This window comes from Homo sapiens, chromosome 17 (genome assembly GCF_000001405.40).
Source record: "Homo sapiens chromosome 17, GRCh38.p14 Primary Assembly".
In the NCBI taxonomy this organism is placed as follows: domain Eukaryota; kingdom Metazoa; phylum Chordata; class Mammalia; order Primates; family Hominidae; genus Homo; species Homo sapiens.
The window spans coordinates 78,166,853-78,187,346 of record NC_000017.11 but is presented as its reverse complement, the minus strand read 5'-3'; the positions used below and the strand labels follow the sequence as shown (position 1 = coordinate 78,187,346).

The window sequence follows — 20,494 nt, the reverse complement described above, 5'->3', positions numbered from 1 at the left end:
CGTCCCTCTGTTTATATGGCCAGAGCCCCGCCTCGCTCCGCCCCTTTAAACTTGGTGGGCGGACCGAGGCGGGGCTCAGACCAGGCCCCACCCCGATCAGCCACGTCCATCGCCCTGATTTCCAGGCCCTCCCAGTCCCTGGGCGCACGTCCCGGATTCCTCCCACGAGGGGGCGGGCTGCGGCCAAATCTCCCGCCAGGTCAGCGGCCGGGCGCTGATTGGCCCCATGGCGGCGGGGCCGGCTCGTGATTGGCCAGCACGCCGTGGTTTAAAGCGGTCGGCGCGGGAACCAGGGGCTTACTGCGGGACGGCCTTGGAGAGTACTCGGGTTCGTGAACTTCCCGGAGGCGCAATGAGCTGCATTAACCTGCCCACTGTGCTGCCTGGCTCCCCCAGCAAGACCCGGGGGCAGATCCAGGTGCGGGGGCCAGCCCTGCGCGTGGCTGGGGATGAGGTGGTCGTGGTGATAGCCTGTGTCCAGGCATCCGCGCAGGGCGGGCCCTCAAATGACCTCACCTTCTCTCCTAGGTGATTCTCGGGCCGATGTTCTCAGGAAAAAGGTAATGGCTTCGCGGGGCTGGGGTGGAGCTCCTTCCTCTTCTCCGGGGACCCCTTGTCCCGTCCCTCCCCTCCCCTTCCCTCCCCTCCCCTCCCCTCCCCTTCCCTTCCCTCCCCTTCCCTTCCCCTAGAAGGACCAGCACAGCCTCCTACAGCTCCCGCCTGGGGTGCTCCTCCCTTGAATTCAGTCCAGGAGGAAGTCTCTGCCCTCTTCTGCCCAGGCCAAGCCCCTCGTCCTGTGTGGACGCCACTCCCTCCTGGAGCTGGTGACAGCTGCTTACAGCTTAGCTGTCTTCCCCACCAAGTCCTCTGAGAAGGTGGCAACCAGTTGTGTCCCCTGTAGGCCAGGCCTTTTTGTACACCCCTATTCAATGTGGCTGTTTCCTTCTAAGGCCAAGGAAACGTAGTCGCTTTCTAAACCAAGGAGTCTGAAGCCGTGGAGCCTCTGCTCTCCTGAGGTGATAGAACCATTCCCTGACCCGGGTGGGGCTAGTGAGTTTCTTGAGTAAACTACCCACGCACCATTCTTTTTGTTTTGTTTTTGTTCTTCTAGAGGTAGGATCTTGCTATGTTGCCCAGGCTGGTCTCAAACTCCTGGGCTCAAGCAATTCTCTCACCTCAGCCTCCCAAGTAGCTGGGACTACAGGCGTGCACCCCCCCGCCTCCACCCAGCTAATTTTATTTTATTTTTATAGAGCTGGGGTCTTGCTATGTTGCCCAAGCTGGTCTTGAACTCCTGGTCTCAAGCAATCCTCCTACTTCAGCATCCCAAAGTGCTGGGATTACAGATGTTAGCCACCATGCCCTGCCCCAACATTCTTTTATGGCCCTGGGGATCACTTCAGCTCAAACCCCTTGCTCAGGAAGATGTGGCTCAGAGTTGGACTTCTTGGACCCAGAAGCAAGTGCTTTTGACGCTGCACACAAAGACTTTCTGAAATTAATTTAGAAAAGCTGTATGCCAGGTGTGGTGGCCCACGCCTTTAATCCCAGCGCTTTGGAAGGCTGAGGTGCGTTGATCACTTGAGGTTAGGAGTTTGAGACCACCCTGGTCAACGTGGTAAAACCCCATCTCTACTGAAAAAAAAAACCAAAAATTATCTGGGCATGGTGGCAGCCTCCTGTAATCCCAGCTACTCGGGAGGTTGAGGCAGGAGAATCTCTTGAACCCGGAAGGCAGGGGTTGCAGTGAGCTGAGATCGCTCCACTGCACTCTAACCTAGGCAACAGAGCGAGACTCCACCCCAAAAAGAAAGAAAGAAAAACTCTGAACTCTGGGAACAACTCTGGGATGAGGTTACTTTGGAATGCAGTCGCAGGTTCCCTCTACATGTAGCCTTTGCTTCTGCCTTCCCCACTACATCTTGGAGAAGGTTACTCCTCCCACACTTCCTGGGACCACCTGAGTACCATTCCTGGACCTCTTCCCCATAGAGAATTCTGACTTCCAACCCTCTTTGTAGGGATATTATACCCTGCCTGCTCTGCCCTGCTCTTTTCTGGCTGTGGTGGGCTCAGTCTGCATACCACTAGGGACAATGAGGAGCCAGGCTTGTTGGGGAGGGGTCTCCTTCTCCCACTCCTCCCGCCGTGGACCTCACCTGACCCTCTCTCCTCTTGCAGCACAGAGTTGATGAGACGCGTCCGTCGCTTCCAGATTGCTCAGTACAAGTGCCTGGTGATCAAGTATGCCAAAGACACTCGCTACAGCAGCAGCTTCTGCACACATGACCGGTCAGTCCCTGCCCCCTGCAGTCCTGTCCAGTGGAAAATCACAAGGCACAGGACACACTGTTAGGACTCTCTTTAATGGGGATGGTTAATCATTTGAACATTGAATGATTCAAATCAGCACACTTTCCAAGGTGCTTGGCAAGGTAGCGCACACTCTCCACTCCCTGGGCTGGAGCCAGTGGTTCTCCACTGAGGGTGATTTTGCCGCCAGGGTCCATTTGACAATGTTTGAAGACATTTCTAGTTGTTGCAACTGGAGGGGGGAGGGGATGCTTTTGGGCTTTAATGTGTAGAAATCAGGGACACTGCTGCTAAGGGTCCTATGGTGCAGAGGACGGCCCCCATGCAAGAACGAGCTGGCCCCAAATGTCAGGAGCCTGCCAGTGTTCAGAAACTCTGCCGTAGGGTTTCAGCTTCACACAGGCTGCAGACTGGTTTGGTTTGGCCTGCACGTTGATTTTTGTTTAATTTTTTAGTTGTCCGTTGTTGGCTGGCTCCCCCGTCACCTGGCAGCCTTCACGCTTCCCTGTTTTATGTGTAGCTGTTTGAGCTCGCTGGACATTTCCGCCTGCAACCTCAGTTTGGGAGTTAAATTCACTTCCTTGGCAGCAGATGTGGGCCTGATGTTTCTGAGCCTGAGACGCTTTGCTTGGTCCTCTGGACTTGTCCACCTGGGCACCCAGTGGCAAAGCCATGCTGTGCCACACATTATAGGGCTTCAGCCTCAGAGCCCTGGCTGGGAGCTGTATCCGAGAGTTGCTATGGCTGTGCAGAGAACAGATCCACCCGGCGTGTGGCCTTCGGTGGGAGCTGAGGGGCTCCTGAAGCCAGATGCTGGTGGAGTGGAGGGTGCTTGGGGCTTGGAGTTGCATGTGGGAATTTAACCGCACTTCGTGACCATGCTGTCTGATGTAGGTCATTTACTTTTCCAAATTTGCTTCCTCATTCCTAAGATGCGATGTCCACGGCACAGGGTGGTGTTACACCTGGTGGGGACAGGGAAAGCAGAGGAGGTCACTTCGTTCCAGCTGTTGGAAGTACAACTTCTGGAGTCAGTCAGATCCGGGATTAAATATGAGTTCTGCCCGTGTGTCACAAGTCATCTCTAACACGGGCCACAGAGGCCAAGGCTGGGCCAGCAGCATTGATGGCTCGAGAGGCTGCCCTTGCAGGGGCCACAGCTGGCCTCCCACCTGCCCTCACTTTGTCTTTCTCTGTTTAGGGAGGGAAGAGGGAATTTAAAATGCCCAAAATACTGTTTCACACATTCTTTCCAGAACTCGAAGTAGGATTATAGCAAGGTAATAACGAAACAATAGTTGTAAAGTATGTTTTTTTGTTTGTTTGTTGTTTGTTTTTGGGACAGGGTCTCTCTCTGTCACCCAGGCTGGAGTGCAGTGGCTCAATCATAGCTTACTGTTACGTGACCCCAAACCCTTGGGCTCAAGTGATCGTCCCACCTCAGCCCCCTGAGCAGGTGGGACTACAGGCGCACACCACCACACCCAGTTAATTTTTACATTTTTTTCACACAGTGTCTCGCTGTGTTACCCAGGCTGGTCTCGAACTCCTGAGTTCAAGTGATCCTCCCGTCTTGGCCTCCCCAAAGATTACGGGCATGAGCTGCTGTGTCTGGCCAGAATACAGGATTTTAAAAATTTATGTTTTGCAACATAATTAATATAAAGACAAATATAACCCAGGCCCAGTTCTAGTTATTCATTCTTCTGAATTTTAAAAGGAAACATTTGGCTGGCCCCTAATGGTATCATGGGCCCTGGTACCTGATGAAGTTGGCCTAGTCTGCCCCCAGCTCCTGAACAGTGGAAGAGTTTTTAGTCTCATTGAGCTTTGTACTGGACATTACTAATTTCTAATCCAAAGCATCAAGTGAAGTGGCTTGTATAAATAACTGGTTTTCCTCTGGGAGGCTAAGGCGGGTGGATCACTTAAAAGTTAGGAGTCTGAGACCAGCCTGGCCAACATGGTGAAACCCCATGTCTGCTAAAAATACAAAAATTAGCTGGGTGTGATGGTGTGTGCCAGTAGTCCCAGCTACTCTTGTGGCTGAGGTGGGAGAATCGCTTGAGACCCTTGAGAATTGGGAGGTAGAGATTGCAGGGAGCCGAGATGGCGCCACTGCACTCCAGCCTGGGTGACAGAGCAAGACTCTGTTTCATAAAAAATAAATAAATAACTGGTTTTCTGGACGAGGGCCTTTCCCATAGGTGCTAACTTCTCAAAGCCCGGCTGGGTGAACACTGAGCCTGCTTTGCAGGTAGCAGGTGGTCACGACAGTGCCATTCCCTGGCCCCTGCATTGTGGCTTCTGGCCTCCCTGGCCCTGCTCACGCTCTGGCTTTCTCTTCCCAGGAACACCATGGAGGCACTGCCCGCCTGCCTGCTCCGAGACGTGGCCCAGGAGGCCCTGGGCGTGGCTGTCATAGGCATCGACGAGGGGCAGTTTGTAAGTTGGCTTGTCTTGGCATCACTCTTCCTGCCAGCTTCCGCTCTGTCCTCCCGTTTTCCCTCGCTGACTTGGAAGTTATCTGATCTTTTAGTAAAATAACAAGGTTAAATAGCTACAACTAGTGTTGGAATACCCTCTGAAGGCCCCTTTCTAGTTTCCCTGTCATAGTGTCATAGTCTTGTAGGATTCGTTTTACTTTTTTTTTTTTTTTTTTGAGACGGAGTTTTGCTCTTGTTGCCCAGGCCGGAGTACGATGGCACAATCTCACCGCAAACTTTGCTTCCTGGGTTCAAGCAATTCTCTCCTGTCTCAGCCTCCCGAGTAGCTGGGATTACAGGCATGCGCCACCACGCCCAGCTAATTTTATATTTTTAGTAGAGATGGGGTTTCTCCATGTTGGTCAAGCTGGTCTCAAACTCCCAACCTCAGGTGATCCGCCCCGCCTTGAACTCCCAAAGCGCTGGGATTACAGGCATGAGCTACCACACCTGGCCATTGTACCTTTTTAAAAATACATATATCTATTTACTGGCAAGATGCAGTGACTCACACCTGTAATCTCAGCCTGTGGGAGGCCAAGGTGGACAGATCACTTGAGCCCAGGAGTTGGAGACTCACCTGGGCAACATAGTAAAACCCCATCTCTACCAAAAAAAAAAAGAAATTAGCCAGTCATAGCAGCGCACACCTGTGGTCCCTGCTACTCAGGAGGCTGAGGCAGAAGGATGGAGCCTGGGAGGTCGAGGCTGCAGTGAGTGGTGATAGCACCACTGCACTCCAGCCCGGGCGACAAGGCCAGACCCTGTCTCAAAAAAAAAAGGGGGAGGTGGGGAGTAATGTTTGGTTTGCCTCATGGTTCCTTTTGCTTGTTTCTTATACGTTTATTTTCTTGTTGTTGAAGTACCTTTTTTAGTAGTTTTTGCAGCCAGGAGGTATAGATGGGAAGCTGCCAGTCTTTGTATGGAAATCTTTCTTTTGTCATCTAGTTTAAGCTGGGCAGCAAGAGGTAGGTTGATCTTGTGTGGGTTTGGGTTTTTTTTTTTTTTTTGAGACGGAGTCTTACTCTGTCGCCCAGGCTGGAGTGCAATGGCGTGATCTCGGCTCACTGCAACCTCTGCCACCCGGATTCAAGCGATTTTCCCACCTCGCCTCCCAAGTAGGTGGGATTACAGGCACCCACCATCATGCCTGGCTAATTTTTGTAGAGACAAGGGTTCACCATGTTGGCTAGGCTGGTCTTGAACTCCTGACCTCAGGTGATCCACCCGCCTTGGCTTCCCAAAGTGTTGGAATTACAGGCATGAGCCGCCGTGCCCGGCCTTTTTAATTTTTATTTTTTTTGAGATGGAGTCTTGCTCTGTTGCCCTGGCTGGAGTGGAGTGACGTGATCTTAGCTCACAGCAACCTCCGCCTTTTGGGTTCAAGCAGTTCTGCCTCATCCTTCCGGGTAGCTGGGATCACAGGTGCGTGCCACCATGCGTAGCTCATTTATGTATTTTTAATAGAGATGGGGTTTCACCATGTTGGCCAGCTGGTCTGGAACTCCTGACCTCAGGTGATCCGCATGCCTCAGCTCCCAAAGTGCTGGGATTACAGGCGTGAGCCACCACGCCTGGTCTTGATCTTGTTGCTTTGAAAAGTAGCAGCGCTGGTCATTGTGTTTTTGCTCAGAGGAAGGCCGCCATCTCTCTAATGTTACCTCTGGTCAGGTATTCTATCTGTTCTCTCTCAGCACAATGTGTGTAGGGGAAGCTTTGTTTCATTTATCCTGCTTTATAGCTGGTGTGCCTTTTCATTTCTGGGGAAGGAATGAAGCCATTATCACTTCAGGTATTTCTCTCCTCATCCATCTCTGAGGTGTTCTGGGTTCCATCTTCCAGAGTGTGTTTTGTTTCAGTGACTATTTTTACATCTGCTGCTCTAATTCATCATGCTCCGTTTTGTTTGACAAGTTACTGTTGGGTTATTTTTAAATTTATGCTGTTCCTTCCATTATGTTCCTGAAAATCTTTTCTTAGACTTTTCCAGATTTTTCTATTTCCTCAGGAACATATTCTGTGGTTGAGTTTCTGGGTTATTTTCTGTTATCTTAGTTTTCTTTCCTCTGCTTTGGAGATTTTATTTTTGTTAGTTTATCACAAAGAATGAAACTGAAACTCTCTCCAAGGGGTTTAGCAGACTTGACCTCTTAGGTACTTTTAGGGTTGCCTCGAAGTACACAATGTGGTGGTTTGATATAAACATAACAGGAATTTATTTCTCGCTCACAGACCCCCTACGTGGTTCCAGGCCGGTTGATGGGGAGGCCGCCCACGAGGCGGCTTAGGTCGCCCTGGCTGGCTGTATACAGACACGGAGGGGAAGAGACGTGGCGGAGCCCCTGGGTGTGAGGTTTTCATGGGCCTGACCAGAAGCTGCAAACGTCACTTCTGCTGATCTTTCAAAGACTAGAACCTGGGCACAGGGCCACCTATACGTTTAGTATACTTAGTCCAGTTCGTTTTTTGTTTGTTTTTAAAAACAGTCTTGCTCTGTGGCCCAGGCTGGAGTGCAGTGGCGCAGTCTCGGCTCACTATAACCTCCATCTCCCAGGTTCAAGTGATTCTCCCGCCTCAGCCTCCTGAGTAGCTGGGATTACAGGCTTCTGCCACCATGCCCAGCTAACCTTTTGTATTTTTAGTAGAGACGGGGTTTCATCATGTTGACCGGGCTGGTCTGGAACTCCTAACCTCAGGTGATCTGCCTGCCTCAGCCTCCCAAAGTGCTGGGATTACAGGCGTGAGCCACCACGCCTGGCCACACTTAGTCTAGTTCTATACCCTGGAGGAAGAATAAATGAGTTGGTTTGGTGAGTGCTTCGAGGTCTCTACCCGCCCTGCCTCCCAGCACAGAGCCAGGCCGCTCTGGCCTGAATACCCTGCCCGGACGTCACAGGGCCTGTCCCCTCAAAAGGCCAGTCCTGCCTTCCTGGTTCTGTTCTTGCCCAACATTCTGTATGAGTCACAGCTGCAAATTCCATTCCCGTGGGGAGGCTGACGGGTCCCTTCCCCTGTGCGGGGCATCTGCCCTGTGGAGTTGAGGCTGCCAGTGTCCGCTCTGGGTTCCCGACCACCCGGCAGCTGGCATCTCCTCCCCGCTTGGGTATGGCCATTCCGTTTCTGACCTTCAGAGGTGCGCCCCTGAGCACCCCCATGCCTCTGCGTACGTGGAGACGTCGTTGTTGCTGCCCCGTGCTTGAGGGACTCCTGGCGAGAAAGTGAGCCCAGGCTGGGAATAGGGCTGCAGCTGTTCTCTTTTGCTCCCAAACTGTGGCCTCAGAATGCATCCAGGGATTTTGCATCAGCTTTGGGGACATGGCCCTCTCAGAACAAGGAAGCTTCAGCTTTGGCAAGGCTCTCCCTCCTTCAGACCTGCCGCTGTGAGTTGTTCAATAGCTCTGTTCTCCTGGCTCTGCGTAAACCTTGTTGACAGAGGCTGACCCAGACCCCCGAGGCAGAAACCTTTCCCTTCTCCTTCCTCGACATCCAAATGCCCTGAGTCAGGAGCCAGCGTATGAAGTCCTGTCCCCTGTTCAGCCTATAGGAGGGATTTCTCGGTCTACTTCCTCCCTGGCCAGCAAGTAAAACTTGAGTTCATTCAGTGAGTATTTATTACACCCTACCCAGACATCAGCATTCTGCCCTGGCCTCTGTGTGCCCTTGTTCTCTTCAAGAAGTTCCGGGTCACCAGCCTGACCAACATGGAGAAACTCCGTCTCTACTAAAAATACAAAAATTAGCCAGGCGTGGTGGCGCATGCCTGTAATCCCAGCTACTTGGGAGGCTGAGGCAGGAGAATCGCTTGAACCCGGTAGGCGAAGGTTGCAGTGAGCCAAGATCGCCCCATTGCACTCCAAGCCTGGGCAACAACAAGAGCAAAACTCAGTCTCAAAACAAAACAAAACAAAAGAAGTTCAGGGTCTTCCCATTGCAAGCAGTTCTAGATCGAGGAGAGGGGTTCCTAGCATGGGACCCAGCAGAAGGACTGTCCTTCGCTCCTTCATTGTCTACGTGGACAGTGGATGAAGCCCAGCCGAACCTGCCTTGTTCCCGTTTTCTGGGTCAGCAGGGAAAGCCTTTCACAGAGTAGCCACCGTGCCATCCTGAGGAAGGCCCTGGGTCAGAAGCTTCTGTGCTTCTTTGTACCCCGGGCGAGACACACAGGTGCTCACACTGCTCTGTAGAAACTGTTGGCATCCAAGAGAGACTCACCTGGAAATCTCTGGAAAACCTGAAGCTCCTAGCTGGGGGTGCTGTGCTTCAGATGCTGGTGGTGGGTGGGCACCCTTGCATCAACAGCTGCACAGTGTGTGGTGGGCTTGCAGGGTCGCTTGGCAATAGTAGGAGCTCTGATTTATTTTTTTAAACTTTTTTTCTGGCTGGGCACGGTGGCTCACACCTGTAATCCCAGCACTTTGGAAGGCCTAGGCGGGCGGATCACTTGAGGTCAGGAGTTTGAGACCAGCCAGGCCAACATGGTGAAACCCCATCTCTACTAAAAATACAAAAATTAGCCAAGCGTGGTGGCACACACCTGTAATTCCAGCTACTTGGGAGGCAGAGGCACAAGAATTGCTTGAACCTGGGAGGCAGAGGTTGCAGTGAGCCAAGATTATGCCACTGCACTCCAGCCTGGATGACAGAGCGAGACTCTGTCTCAAAAAAAATAGACAAAGCCAGGCGCAGTGGCTCATGCCTGTAATCCCAACACTTTGGGAGGCCGAGGTGGGTGAATCACGAGGTCAGGAGATCGAGACCATCCTGGCTAACACGGTGAAACCCCGTCTCTACTGAAAATACAAAAAAATTAGCCAGGCGTGGTGGCGGGCACCTGTAGTCTCAGCTACTCGGGAGGCTGAGGCAGGAGAGTGGCGTGAACCCAGGAGGCGGAGCTTGCAGTGAGCTGAGATCACGCCACTGCACTCCAGCCTGGGCGACAGAGCGAGACTCCGTCTCAAAAAAAAAAAAAAAATAGACCTTTTTGTGTTTTCTGTTCTACTACACAAGTAATACAGGTTGAGTATTCCTTAACCTAAATGCCTGGGACCAGAAGTGTTTCGGATTTCAGGTTTTCGAATATTTGCATGTTCATAATATAATGAGACCTTGGGAATGAGCCCCAAGTGTAAACACAAAATCCATTTATGTTTTATAGACATCTTAGGCACATAGCCTGAGAGTAATTTTATGTATTTAGTAATTTGGACGTGAGCCACAGTTTTTGACTGTGACCTGTCCCATGAGGTCAGGTGTGGAATTTTCCACTTGTGGTGGGCGCTCAAAAAGTTTCAGATTTTGGAGCCTTTCAGGTTAGAGACATGCAATCTATAATAAGTTTAATCTAGGAAAAGTTAGGGTCTGGCACAGAGGCTCACGTCTGTGATCCCAGCACTTTGGGAGGCTGAGGCAGGCAGATCACTGGAAGTGCTGGACGGGTGGGGAAGTGCCGGGTGCAAGAACCAAGCTCTTTGACTATGGACCTCAGCCTGAGGTTGGTCAAGAGGTGGAGTGAGTGGGGGCTGAGGACCTTCATCCTGAAACCCTGATGCAGGAGAGTCTGGGGTCTGCCTTCTACCCTCATGTGGCGGGTGAAGGAGCAAGGTTCTCAACTCAGGAGGGTTCTTCCCCTCTCCATTCCCACCCAGGGGACATCTCACAACAACTAGAAACAATTTTGTCGCAGCTGGGGGGTGGGAGGTGTGTTCCTGGCATCTATCTAATGGGTGGGGGCGAGGGACGCAGCCCAACACCCTACACTGCACAGGACACAGCGAGATCCGGCCTCAAATGGCAGCCATGGCAGCGTCAGCCCTCCAGGGGGCGCGCCCCTGGCGCAGGTGGTGTGCCGGCCCACAGCTCCTTGCAGGCTGGGAGCTGCATTTTCGTGACATGTCATGAGTCCTCAGAGAAAAAGAGGGAACGAGTGCATGGTGGGGAGGGGCCCTGGCGTGCTGGAGTCTCTGGGTTTCCTTCTCCAGAGACCCCTGCAGTCAGCTGAGCGCAATCAGTCACGTTGGGCTTTGCTTGGATCTCACTGGAATTTTTCGAGCCACCCCTTAGTCCTCACCTTGCTAAGCCCTCACGTCTCAATAACCTCAAACCTCAGTACCTGGGCTGAGAAAGCCTGAGTGGCCCTGGGAGAGAGACCCTGCACCCAAGGACAAGGACATCCCTGCTTCACCCAACCCAAAGGCCAGTCTGGACATATGAACTCAACCAGCTAAGAGTGATATGATTGATTGATGAGAATCACCAGAGCACTTGCCAGAGTTTCAGCTTCTCCCTGGGCCAAAGTGAAGTTTGCTTTACACAGTAAATGTGCTCTGTGCAGGTCCTGAATTTAGAAGGCTGTGCTGTGTCATCCTGCTCTGTAAATGGCCAGTAGGACCCCCGCCCCTTCTCAAGGCACATTACCCGTTTAAAACGGGGGAGGCAAGAGCACAAAGCGCCCACCTATTCACCGAAGAGCATGTATATAACTTAGGGCCTTCCATCCTTAAACAACAGGACCTTCCTTGCTCTTAAGGAAAAGGAAACAGGTTCAGAGACGTTAATTCATTGCCAAGGTCACACAGATAATGGGTCCAGCGAAGAGTGGTGTCCGAGCCCAAGGCAGCAGGCCTTTGGCCACTGCAGTGTTAAACAGCACAGCTGGTGTGGAAGTCCGGTGCTGAGTCCTGGGTACCTGGACTCGGAGGGAAGCTGGCTGCAGGGGGAAGGGGCTGCGCAGTTGTGGATGTACCTGTCGTCTGCTGGGGGGCGTGCGGGTGGACACAGTCCCCCGGCCTGGGGAGCCTCGTGGGAGAATTAAGAGTTACTCCGGGCCAAATGGCCGGAGTTGTCAGATCTGGCAGCGTCTTCGCTGGGGCTCCAGGGAGCTGCTGCTGGGGTGGAAGCTCTCACACTCTTTCTCCACGTGCCCTTTCCAGTTCCCTGACATCGTGGAGTTCTGCGAGGCCATGGCCAACGCCGGGAAGACCGTAATTGTGGCTGCACTGGATGGGACCTTCCAGAGGAAGGTAAGGCGTCTGATCCAGGTCTGGAGCTGGGATTGAGGAGGGCAAGAGGCTTCTGGATGGGCACAGAGACACCAGCTCTGGGTGACCAGGGCTCAGCCACCACAGGGTTACGGCCGAGCTGCTCAGGCCTTGGCTGAGCCAAGGGACTCCATGGTCTGTGCAGACTGCGTGCCATCTGTTGCGGCAGGTGCTTTGAATTGGCAAAGGGACAGAGCCGGGCATGGTGCTCTGGGGGTTGGGGGAAGGACTAAGGTCAGAGCAAACTCTCCTGGCTTCAGTGCTTGTGAATCAGAGGGTTTAAAAGAAAAACCCACCTGGTAAGGTGGCTGAGCGCCCTCTGTCTTTCCATGGGAGCGCAGCCATTTGGGGCCATCCTGAACCTGGTGCCGCTGGCCGAGAGCGTGGTGAAGCTGACGGCGGTGTGCATGGAGTGCTTCCGGGAAGCCGCCTATACCAAGAGGCTCGGCACAGAGAAGGAGGTAGCTCCACCTGCCTTCCCTGCAGGCCGGCGGGGTGGGGGTATGGCTCTGCCTCCTTCCTGTCCTGGCCCTTCACCCATCCCCTGTCCCTGCGGCCAGGTCGAGGTGATTGGGGGAGCAGACAAGTACCACTCCGTGTGTCGGCTCTGCTACTTCAAGAAGGCCTCAGGCCAGCCTGCCGGGCCGGACAACAAAGAGAACTGCCCAGTGCCAGGAAAGCCAGGGGAAGCCGTGGCTGCCAGGAAGCTCTTTGCCCCACAGCAGATTCTGCAATGCAGCCCTGCCAACTGAGGGACCTGCGAGGGCCGCCCGCTCCCTTCCTGCCACTGCCGCCTACTGGACGCTGCCCTGCATGCTGCCCAGCCACTCCAGGAGGAAGTCGGGAGGCGTGGAGGGTGACCACACCTTGGCCTTCTGGGAACTCTCCTTTGTGTGGCTGCCCCACCTGCCGCATGCTCCCTCCTCTCCTACCCACTGGTCTGCTTAAAGCTTCCCTCTCAGCTGCTGGGACGATCGCCCAGGCTGGAGCTGGCCCCGCTTGGTGGCCTGGGATCTGGCACACTCCCTCTCCTTGGGGTGAGGGACAGAGCCCCACGCTGTTGACATCAGCCTGCTTCTTCCCCTCTGCGGCTTTCACTGCTGAGTTTCTGTTCTCCCTGGGAAGCCTGTGCCAGCACCTTTGAGCCTTGGCCCACACTGAGGCTTAGGCCTCTCTGCCTGGGATGGGCTCCCACCCTCCCCTGAGGATGGCCTGGATTCACGCCCTCTTGTTTCCTTTTGGGCTCAAAGCCCTTCCTACCTCTGGTGATGGTTTCCACAGGAACAACAGCATCTTTCACCAAGATGGGTGGCACCAACCTTGCTGGGACTTGGATCCCAGGGGCTTATCTCTTCAAGTGTGGAGAGGGCAGGGTCCACGCCTCTGCTGTAGCTTATGAAATTAACTAATTGAAAATTCACTGGTTGGTGGACGCACATTTCTCTTTCACCTGGGTTTCCCTGGGTCTCATGGACAGCTCCAACTTGATTTGGGTGGGGATTTTCTTCCAGATCTTTTTTTCTTTTGTTTTGAGACAGGGTCTCTGTCGCCCAGGCTGGAGTGCAGTGACGCAATCCCTGCTCACTGCAGCCTCTGCTTCCCCAGTTGAAGTGATTCTCCCCCGTCAGCCTCCCAAGTAGCCGATATTACAGGCGTGTACCACCACACCTGGCTAATTTTTGTATTTTTAGTAGAGACGAGTTTTCACCATGTTGGCCAGGCTGGTCTCGAACTCCTGGCCTCAAGTGATCCACCTGCCTCGGCCTCCCAAAGTGCTGGGATTACAGGCGTGAGGCACTGCACCTGGCCCCCAGATCTTTCTGTAGTAATACTGATCTCTTAACCACAACCCTTGAACTGAGAAATGATCATGGGGTGTGTCCTAAGCAGAACATCATCTGCCTTCCTGTCTGGGCCAGTGTCAGGACAAAAATGGGTGTACAGAGGAGCCCGGGGCCCAGTTGGAAGGAAGAGGCACTGTCCTGCCCGCTGGGCCTGTGAGGTCAGGTTTTGTTTGTGAAACAAACTCTTGGTAATTCAGGAGTCAAGACATCTCTCAGCTGTGCCTCAGAGATGGGCTGTTGGCAGCTCACTTGGGGGCAAGCATCGCTGGGGTAAGGTGTGTCCTGTGCAGGCAGGGTCACCACTCCCAGGGCCTCCCCAGCCTCCCTCTCCCCTTCGCTAGTGATGTGTCCCAAGCCAAAGCCATCGGGTGAGGCTGGGAGCAGTGCCCTGTTAGTTCGTACTGGGGATTTTTAAACAATCGGGACTTGCCGATGACAGCTCCCTCTGTCATTGCTCAAAAGAAGAAGCCAGAAGTTGCTTTAGGGCCTTGACCTCTTCCAGAGATGGGCCTTATCTCCGAGGGGTGGGCTGGACGGCCAAGGCCGTGTCCCAGGAAGGCTCCAGAGGTGCTGACCCTGGAGGAAGGTAGAAACCTGGTCTTACCTATGGTACCCCTATTCAGTGCAAGAAAGGGGCATTCACCGACAACTCCCAGGTACCCCCACCCCCACTCTAGGAAGGGAGCAGCAGGACCCTGGCACTGCAGGCCAGAAAAATCATCTTGTTTACAAGCTGAGCACAGTTACTATTTTAAGATGTTGATGAAAGGCTTGTGCGGAATGCGACCCCAGACAGAGGGAAGGGGGCCAGCCAGGCAGGCTGGAGGGGGCGGATTGCCACTGCCTTGTTCAAACTACAAGTTCCATAAAGCCAGCCCCTAAGGGTGTACCCAGAGTGGAGTCTTCCTCCAACCCCTAGGCTGTGGCTCAACCAATGACTGGAGACTGAATGAGAAAACATTTATTCCGTCTCCAAACAGCATCCCAGGCCGGGCATCTCCCCCACGATTTTATAATACACTCGGCACAGACAGAGTCTGGGAGCCATGGGGCACCCCTGCCCTCCCCAGGCTTCCTAAGTAACAACTGCAGAATATTTACATAAAGCTGGGTGTTGTCAGGCAAAGCCCTTCCCTGCTGCCAGGGGTGGGAGCAAGGAGGAAGTGCCATGAGCACCAGCCCCGCCCTCACACCACGGGAGGCAGCCCAGAGGCCACCGGCACAGGGTGGTGGCCCCCAGATCATACAGCAGTGGGCACAGGGGAAGCAAACCTGAGTGAGGACACAAGAGCCTGGTCCGGCTCCGCTGCACAGGGCAGGTGTGATGGCCCCCACGAGTCTTTGGCAGAGAACGCAGATAATAGCGGCTCCCACGGCCTGACCCGGGCCGGGGGGAAGCTGAGGCACTTGTCAGTAGCACATGGGCACCTGCTGGCTTCTAGCCACTGCAGGCGGGGCTGAGGTCATTAAAAGCGAGGAAAAACACTAGCTAAAAACCCTTTCCTAAAAGTGCCCTGGAGGAGTGAGCGGCTGACTGAAGCCCTCTGGGCACAGGCACTTGGGGTGTGGCTCTGCCAGCCCCCGCCAGGCTATGAGGCTCCTTAGCTGTGTGTCAGCTGCACAGGATGGAACAGGTGAAAGAGAGGGGCTGGCAGTTCCAGGAGGCTCATGGGAAAGTCCAGGGCAGAGGGGAGGGCCCTCTCTGTCCCCCTTCCCACGCTAACCGCCGCTCAGTACACAGGGGGCGGCTGGTAGCCCTCGGTGGTCTCCGCGTTCTGGGTGAAGGGTGGCTGTTGGTAGTTGTCCACAGATGCACCTGGGTAGGAGGCGTAGGCAGTGTTGGGGTCCGGAGTGGGGTCAACGTAATTCTGGATGAAGTCGTCCACGCCAGCCTTGTAGCGCTGGTAGGCCAGGGAGGCCAGCACACCCTGCAGGGGGAGCACAGCAGGGTACAGGTGGGTGGGGGACCCCACCCTCCACCACCCTTGACCCAAGAACCGGCCCCTGGCCATCCTACCCAGGAGAAGATGGAAAAGAAGCTGAAGGTGATGGCTGCCCTCACAGAGTCGGCCCCCACCAGCACGTCCTTCGGGTTGGTGACTGCCCACTGGTTGGTGAGGAAGCAGAAACCAACAAACCACAGGAAGGTCCAGAGAGCTGGGGGAGGACGGGTGAAGCGTCAGTTCCATGGAAAGGGAGGGGCTTTCCAGGACTCTGGGAGGGGACGCGGGCAGGTAGGGCAGGGACCTCCCGGGGGAGCCTCCACACTATGGAGGGGAGGACTTGGAAGCCGGGCCGGGAGCCACCTCCAAAGTCCCCCACACTCGGGCCTTGGCAGGGTGGGCCACAGCAGACAGCCTAGGGGACAAAAGGGGCAGAGGCAAAGCCCATCTGCTCGGGTGTGCTGCAGGTCCACTCAGCTTCTAGCTACCCCAGGCAGGGCTGGTGCCATTCAAGCACGGAAAAACACTAGCTGAAAACCCTTTCCTAAAAATGCCCTGGAGGAGTGAGCTGCTCCCTGCCCCTCCCAGAGAGGCCGAGACCCTCCCAGCTGCGGAACCCTAGAGTTAATGCCTCCCCCAAGATCAAATGGAGGTGCCACAGGCAGATACCTGAGAAGAGCAGGTCACCAATGACCAGGTACTTGCGGTCAGTGGCGTTGCTGATCTGGGGGAAATACGCGTCGACCACCAAGAAGAAGGCCGAGGCCAGGAAGGCCAGCACCCCGATGGCACTGCCATAGCGGCAGGCATCCTCGTTGCGGTTGAACACGCAGTACATCTGCTTAGACTCGTGGGCATTGCTGTAGCCCTCACCATAGATGCAGGAGAACACGATCAAGGCGAAGACCTGCCGGGAGGGGAGGACCTGGTAGGGCTGGTGGCCGCCTGAGGGGCACACACAGCGGGGACCCTGATGGGGTGTACAGATGCTGGCCTCTCCCACTACTGCTGTCCCCTTTTGGGTTTTTGTTGTTGTTTGAGATGGAGTCTTGCTCTTGTTGCCCAGGCTGGAGTGCAATAGTGCGATCTCGGCTCACTGCATCCTCTGCCTCCTGGGTTCAAGCAATTCTGCCTCAGCCTCCCTAGTAGCTGGGATTACAGGTGCCCTCCACCACACCCGTATTTTTAGTAGAGATAGGGTTTCACCATGTTGGCCAGGCTGGTCTGGAACTCCTGACCTCAGGTGATCCACCCTCCTCGGCCTCCCAAAGTGCTGGGATTACAGGCATGAGCCACCTCGCCCAGCCTGCTGTCCCCTTTTGGAGGCTGACATCTTAGCCCCTCCAAACTTGTGGAGGTGAGCTGATGAGCAAAGTGCTTCCTGATGCACCCCAGGATGAGAATCTGCAGGCACCAGGGGGCCTGCCCCTGGGAATCCTGGACCGGGGAGGGGTGGGGAATGGGCAGGGACCTCCTAGGCAGGGGCTGCTCCTGCCCCATCGGCCTGCTGCAGGAATCATTCTGCTTAGGTACCTGATGGATGAAGGGCAGTCCTTCCATCCCCAGCCCAACCTCACCTTGAAAGAGGTTTAACCAAGACAGGCCAAGTCACAAAGACTACCCATCCCCCGTCACCTTCAGCCCAAGTCACTTCTACAGCACCCAGCCTCTGCCTGAACACCTTGGTGAAGGTGGACAGGCCCTCTTGGGAAGGCCATGCTGGCGCCCCTGTGTCTTCACCTCCTGGAACCCCTGGAACCCTCCCTGGTTCAGCCTGGCCAGCTGTCTCCACACAAGGACTTGCAGCCTCTGTGGCATCCTGGTCCCTCCCAGTCTGTCTCCCACCCCACAGAGGGCCCTGCATGCACAGGGCACTACAAGGGGACTAACTCAGGCCTGTGGATACAGCTCTGAACTCAGACACCTGGAGGACCCAGGGTGGATGTAGGGGAGCTCCAGCCCCTTGGGAAGAGCCCCATACCACCTCCCTAAACTTGAAGGCCACCACCCACGCCTGCTCCACCTCAGCAGGTGTGGGACAGGTCTGTGAGCATCAGGATCCCTCTGGGATGGCCCCAGGACTCTCCCCTGCCAGTCCTGCCCTGTTGTCCCAGGGAGCTCTCCATAGGGCTCTGGAGCTGGCAGTCACAGGCCCCGCCCCCAGATGGAGATGAAGCCGGATCTCCGGGATGATGGGAGCAGGGTGCCCATCCAGGACTCCTGGCACTGCCATCCCGACCCACTGGGCACCTGATTCTTGGACACAGCCCAGGACAGAGGCGATCAGATCCCACAGCCTGGCTGGGAGCTGGTGTGGGCGCCCTGGAGGACCTCAGAAGCTCCAGGCCCAGGCATGGTCTGGGCACAGCAGGCCCACCTCTGCCTGCCCCCTCATGCCACCCCCTCCAGCTTTCAGGGCTGGCTGTCCAAGAACAGGCCCCCTCCCCGCCACACACACACACACACAAAACCTGGTTTTGGAGGTATTGCCCACCTTACAGGGAGGGGGTACATCTTGGGGTCCCTCAACTTCGGGTGGGAAGGCGGACCCGTGGCCTGCCCCGAGTGGGAAGGACACCCTGTTTCCGGGCGTTGGGTCGCCCCCCGCCCCCTCCCTTACCCCACGTGGCTTCGGAAAACCCCGTCCCGGTGAACTCCCCAATCTGGGAGTCGCGGCGTGCGGGCCACCTGTCCGGGAGCCGCCCCCAAACTCCTCCCACTGCCAGCGAGGCAGGGGCCCGCTCCCTGCGGAGATCCGGACACCCCGCGTCGGGGCGCGAGGCTGGGGGTGGGGTGGGTGGCGGGACCCGGGACCGGGAGGGGACAGCGGGACAGACTGTGGAGGGCGGGAAGGCGGGGCCCGGGACGCTGGACGCCGGCCCCGCTCGCCGCCAGGCCCCGGACGCGGCCGCCGCCACCTGTCGCGCTCGTGGGCTAGGGGCCCCGCCGGGCCTGGCGACGGAGAGGGGGTCCCCAGGGTGCCCTCGGCCCGCCCTCCCCGGGCTCACCAAGCACACGGCGCGCGCCACCACCTGCGGCTGCGTCAGGAAGCGCCGCAGGTCGAAGGAGCCGCCCGCCTTGGCCGCGCCGTAGGCCCCGCTCTCCATGTCGCCGTCGCCGCCGCTGCCGCCGCCGCGGAACGCAGAGGAACCTGCCCGGCGCCCCGCCCGACTCCACCCGCCGGGGGCGTGGCCAGGCGCCGCTAGGGACCGAGGGCAAAGTGCGGCCCTCGCGAGCGGCGGGCGAGCCGCGGGACTGCGCTTCTAGAGGCGGGGAGGGGCTGTGGCCGCGGAGCACCCGGGTCCACCCCACCTCGGGGTTGAGGGGCTAGTCTCCGGGCCACGCCGGCCGCAGCACGGACCAGAAAGGGTCAGAGAGTCCCCCGGGAAGACGGACGAACTGAGGACCGCTCACCCTCTTTGCCCCTGCCCTCCCACCGCCTCCTCTAGGAAGCCCACCACCTACCAAGAACCCACCCAGGCTCATAAGCAACCCCTCCCCCATCCCACTGAAAAACCCAGGCCACACCCTGGAGCCCCTCCCTGCCTGGCCTGCCACTCTTTCCTCCTCTCTGGGGCTAAGCCTGGGGTAGGGTCAAAGACCCCCTCCCCATTCCTCCTGGTCTGGGCAGAGCCCCAAGGCTGTGAAGGGCAGTGTGGCGTCACACTTAAGATGGTGTGCAAGGCCGGGAGCGGTGGCTCACACCTGTAATCCCAGCACTTTGGGAGGCCGAGGCGGTTGGATCACCTGAGGTCAGGAGTTCGAGACCAGCCTGACCAACATGGAGAAACCCCGTCTCTACTAAAAATACAAAAATTAGCCTGGTGTGGTGGTGCATGCCTGTAATCCCAGCTACTCGGGAGGCTGAGGCAGGAGAATCGCTTGAACCTGGGAGGTGGAGGTTGCGGTGAGCCGAGATTGTGCCATTGCACTCCAGCCTGGGCAACAAGAGCAAAACTCTGTGTCAAAAAAAAAAAAAAAAAAAAAAAAAAAGATGGTGTGCAAGGCCGGGCGCAGTGGCTCACACCTGTAATCCCAGCACTTTGGGAGGCCGAGGCGGTTGGATCACCTGAGGTCAGGAGTTTGAGACCAGCCTGGCCAACATGGTGAAACCCCGTCTCTACTAAAAATACAACAACAACAAAAAAATTAGCTGGGCGTTGTGGTAAGCGCCTGTAATCCCAGCTACTTGGGAGGCTGAGGCAGGATAATTGCTTGAAACCGGTAGGCAGAGGTGGCCGTGTGCTGAGATCGAGCCACTACACCCCAGCCTGGGCAACAGAGCAAGAGTCCATCTCAAAACAAACAAAACAAACAAACAAACAAACAAACAAACAAAACCAAAAACGAAAGTTAGCGAGGCGTGGTGGCAGCTACTAGCAGTCCCAGCTATTCCAGAGGCTGAGGTGGGAGAATTGTCTGAGCCCAGGAGGCGGAGTTTGCAGTGAACCAAGATCACGCCTTTGCACCCCAGCCTGGGTGACAGAGTAAGACCACATATCGGCCGGGCGTGGTGGCTCACGCCTGTAATTCCAGCACTTTGGGAGGCTGAAGCAGGCGGATCACGAGGTCAGGAGATCGAGAACACCCTGGCCAACATGGTGAAACCCCGTCTCCACTAAAAATACAAAAATTAGCTGGGCATGGTGGCGCGTGCCTGTAGTCCCAGCTACTTGGCAGGCTGAGGCAGGAGAATCGCTTGAACCCGGGAGGCGGAGGTTGCAGTGAGCCGAGATTGCACCATTGCGACAGAGCGAGACTCCATCTCAAAAAAAAAAAAAAAGAAAAGACCACATATAAAAAAATATATATATGGCATGCAAACAGAAATGAAGTTTTCAGGGCGACAGGCAGATGGCAAAGTTTAATCC

The 20,494-nt window shown here is 55.7% G+C and overlaps 2 protein-coding genes across 6 annotated transcripts, besides 14 other annotated features; one reads left to right on the top strand and one right to left on the bottom strand.

Annotated features, from left to right (window-relative positions):
• Positions 3-142: a silencer, noted in NCBI's record as "silent region_9052". NCBI's record gives its function as "represses an Ori minimal core promoter by ATAC-STARR-seq in GM12878 lymphoblastoid cells {active_cell/tissue: GM12878}" and the evidence as "EXISTENCE:reporter gene assay evidence [ECO:0000049][PMID:35858748]".
• On the top strand, positions 143-13,268 carry TK1 (thymidine kinase 1). 3 transcript variants are annotated; one of them, NM_001346663.2, is made up of 7 exons: positions 295-418; positions 529-560; positions 2,182-2,292; positions 4,665-4,758; positions 11,729-11,818; positions 12,178-12,297; positions 12,559-13,256. In NM_001346663.2, exons 1-7 carry the CDS (start codon positions 353-355, stop codon positions 12,586-12,588), a joined length of 543 nt encoding a protein of 180 aa, NP_001333592.1. In that variant the 5' UTR covers positions 295-352; the 3' UTR covers positions 12,589-13,256. The 3 variants fall into 3 exon arrangements, with proteins under 3 accessions (NP_001350777.1, NP_001333592.1, NP_003249.3); NM_003258.5 differs by having other exon boundaries at positions 12,397-13,256; NM_001363848.1 differs by having other exon boundaries at positions 143-418; positions 12,178-13,268.
• Positions 2,181-3,082: an enhancer, noted in NCBI's record as "H3K4me1 hESC enhancer chr17:76180346-76181247 (GRCh37/hg19 assembly coordinates)". NCBI's record gives its function as "activates a minimal SCP1, AML or CMV promoter by ChIP-STARR-seq in naive H9 embryonic stem cells {active_cell/tissue: H9 hESC(naive)}" and the evidence as "EXISTENCE:reporter gene assay evidence [ECO:0000049][PMID:30033119]".
• Positions 10,029-10,806: an enhancer, noted in NCBI's record as "H3K4me1 hESC enhancer chr17:76172622-76173399 (GRCh37/hg19 assembly coordinates)". NCBI's record gives its function as "activates a minimal SCP1, AML or CMV promoter by ChIP-STARR-seq in primed H9 embryonic stem cells {active_cell/tissue: H9 hESC(primed)}" and the evidence as "EXISTENCE:reporter gene assay evidence [ECO:0000049][PMID:30033119]".
• Positions 10,807-11,585: an enhancer, noted in NCBI's record as "H3K27ac-H3K4me1 hESC enhancer chr17:76171843-76172621 (GRCh37/hg19 assembly coordinates)". NCBI's record gives its function as "activates a minimal SCP1, AML or CMV promoter by ChIP-STARR-seq in primed H9 embryonic stem cells {active_cell/tissue: H9 hESC(primed)}" and the evidence as "EXISTENCE:reporter gene assay evidence [ECO:0000049][PMID:30033119]".
• Positions 11,535-11,584: an enhancer, noted in NCBI's record as "active region_12878". NCBI's record gives its function as "activates an Ori minimal core promoter by ATAC-STARR-seq in GM12878 lymphoblastoid cells {active_cell/tissue: GM12878}" and the evidence as "EXISTENCE:reporter gene assay evidence [ECO:0000049][PMID:35858748]".
• Positions 11,595-11,714: an enhancer, noted in NCBI's record as "active region_12877". NCBI's record gives its function as "activates an Ori minimal core promoter by ATAC-STARR-seq in GM12878 lymphoblastoid cells {active_cell/tissue: GM12878}" and the evidence as "EXISTENCE:reporter gene assay evidence [ECO:0000049][PMID:35858748]".
• Positions 11,735-11,914: an enhancer, noted in NCBI's record as "active region_12876". NCBI's record gives its function as "activates an Ori minimal core promoter by ATAC-STARR-seq in GM12878 lymphoblastoid cells {active_cell/tissue: GM12878}" and the evidence as "EXISTENCE:reporter gene assay evidence [ECO:0000049][PMID:35858748]".
• Positions 12,725-13,024: an enhancer, noted in NCBI's record as "active region_12875". NCBI's record gives its function as "activates an Ori minimal core promoter by ATAC-STARR-seq in GM12878 lymphoblastoid cells {active_cell/tissue: GM12878}" and the evidence as "EXISTENCE:reporter gene assay evidence [ECO:0000049][PMID:35858748]".
• Positions 13,325-13,454: an enhancer, noted in NCBI's record as "active region_12874". NCBI's record gives its function as "activates an Ori minimal core promoter by ATAC-STARR-seq in GM12878 lymphoblastoid cells {active_cell/tissue: GM12878}" and the evidence as "EXISTENCE:reporter gene assay evidence [ECO:0000049][PMID:35858748]".
• Positions 14,015-14,124: an enhancer, noted in NCBI's record as "active region_12873". NCBI's record gives its function as "activates an Ori minimal core promoter by ATAC-STARR-seq in GM12878 lymphoblastoid cells {active_cell/tissue: GM12878}" and the evidence as "EXISTENCE:reporter gene assay evidence [ECO:0000049][PMID:35858748]".
• Positions 14,315-14,584: an enhancer, noted in NCBI's record as "active region_12872". NCBI's record gives its function as "activates an Ori minimal core promoter by ATAC-STARR-seq in GM12878 lymphoblastoid cells {active_cell/tissue: GM12878}" and the evidence as "EXISTENCE:reporter gene assay evidence [ECO:0000049][PMID:35858748]".
• Positions 14,383-18,802, bottom strand: SYNGR2 (synaptogyrin 2). Of its 3 annotated transcripts, NM_004710.7 has the most exons (4): positions 18,632-18,766; positions 16,293-16,530; positions 15,698-15,837; positions 14,627-15,608 (listed from the first exon to the last, which is right to left on the bottom strand). In NM_004710.7, the coding sequence occupies exons 1-4, from the start codon at positions 18,728-18,730 to the stop codon at positions 15,411-15,413; spliced, it is 675 nt and encodes a 224-aa protein (NP_004701.1). In that variant the 5' UTR covers positions 18,731-18,766; the 3' UTR covers positions 14,627-15,410. The 3 variants fall into 3 exon arrangements, with proteins under 3 accessions (NP_001350707.1, NP_001307452.1, NP_004701.1); NM_001363778.1 differs by having other exon boundaries at positions 14,383-15,837; positions 18,632-18,802; NM_001320523.2 differs by lacking the exon at positions 15,698-15,837 and having other exon boundaries at positions 14,383-15,608; positions 18,632-18,802.
• Positions 15,405-15,474: an enhancer, noted in NCBI's record as "active region_12871". NCBI's record gives its function as "activates an Ori minimal core promoter by ATAC-STARR-seq in GM12878 lymphoblastoid cells {active_cell/tissue: GM12878}" and the evidence as "EXISTENCE:reporter gene assay evidence [ECO:0000049][PMID:35858748]".
• Positions 18,304-18,463: a silencer, noted in NCBI's record as "silent region_9051". NCBI's record gives its function as "represses an Ori minimal core promoter by ATAC-STARR-seq in GM12878 lymphoblastoid cells {active_cell/tissue: GM12878}" and the evidence as "EXISTENCE:reporter gene assay evidence [ECO:0000049][PMID:35858748]".
• Positions 18,494-19,103: a silencer, noted in NCBI's record as "silent region_9050". NCBI's record gives its function as "represses an Ori minimal core promoter by ATAC-STARR-seq in GM12878 lymphoblastoid cells {active_cell/tissue: GM12878}" and the evidence as "EXISTENCE:reporter gene assay evidence [ECO:0000049][PMID:35858748]".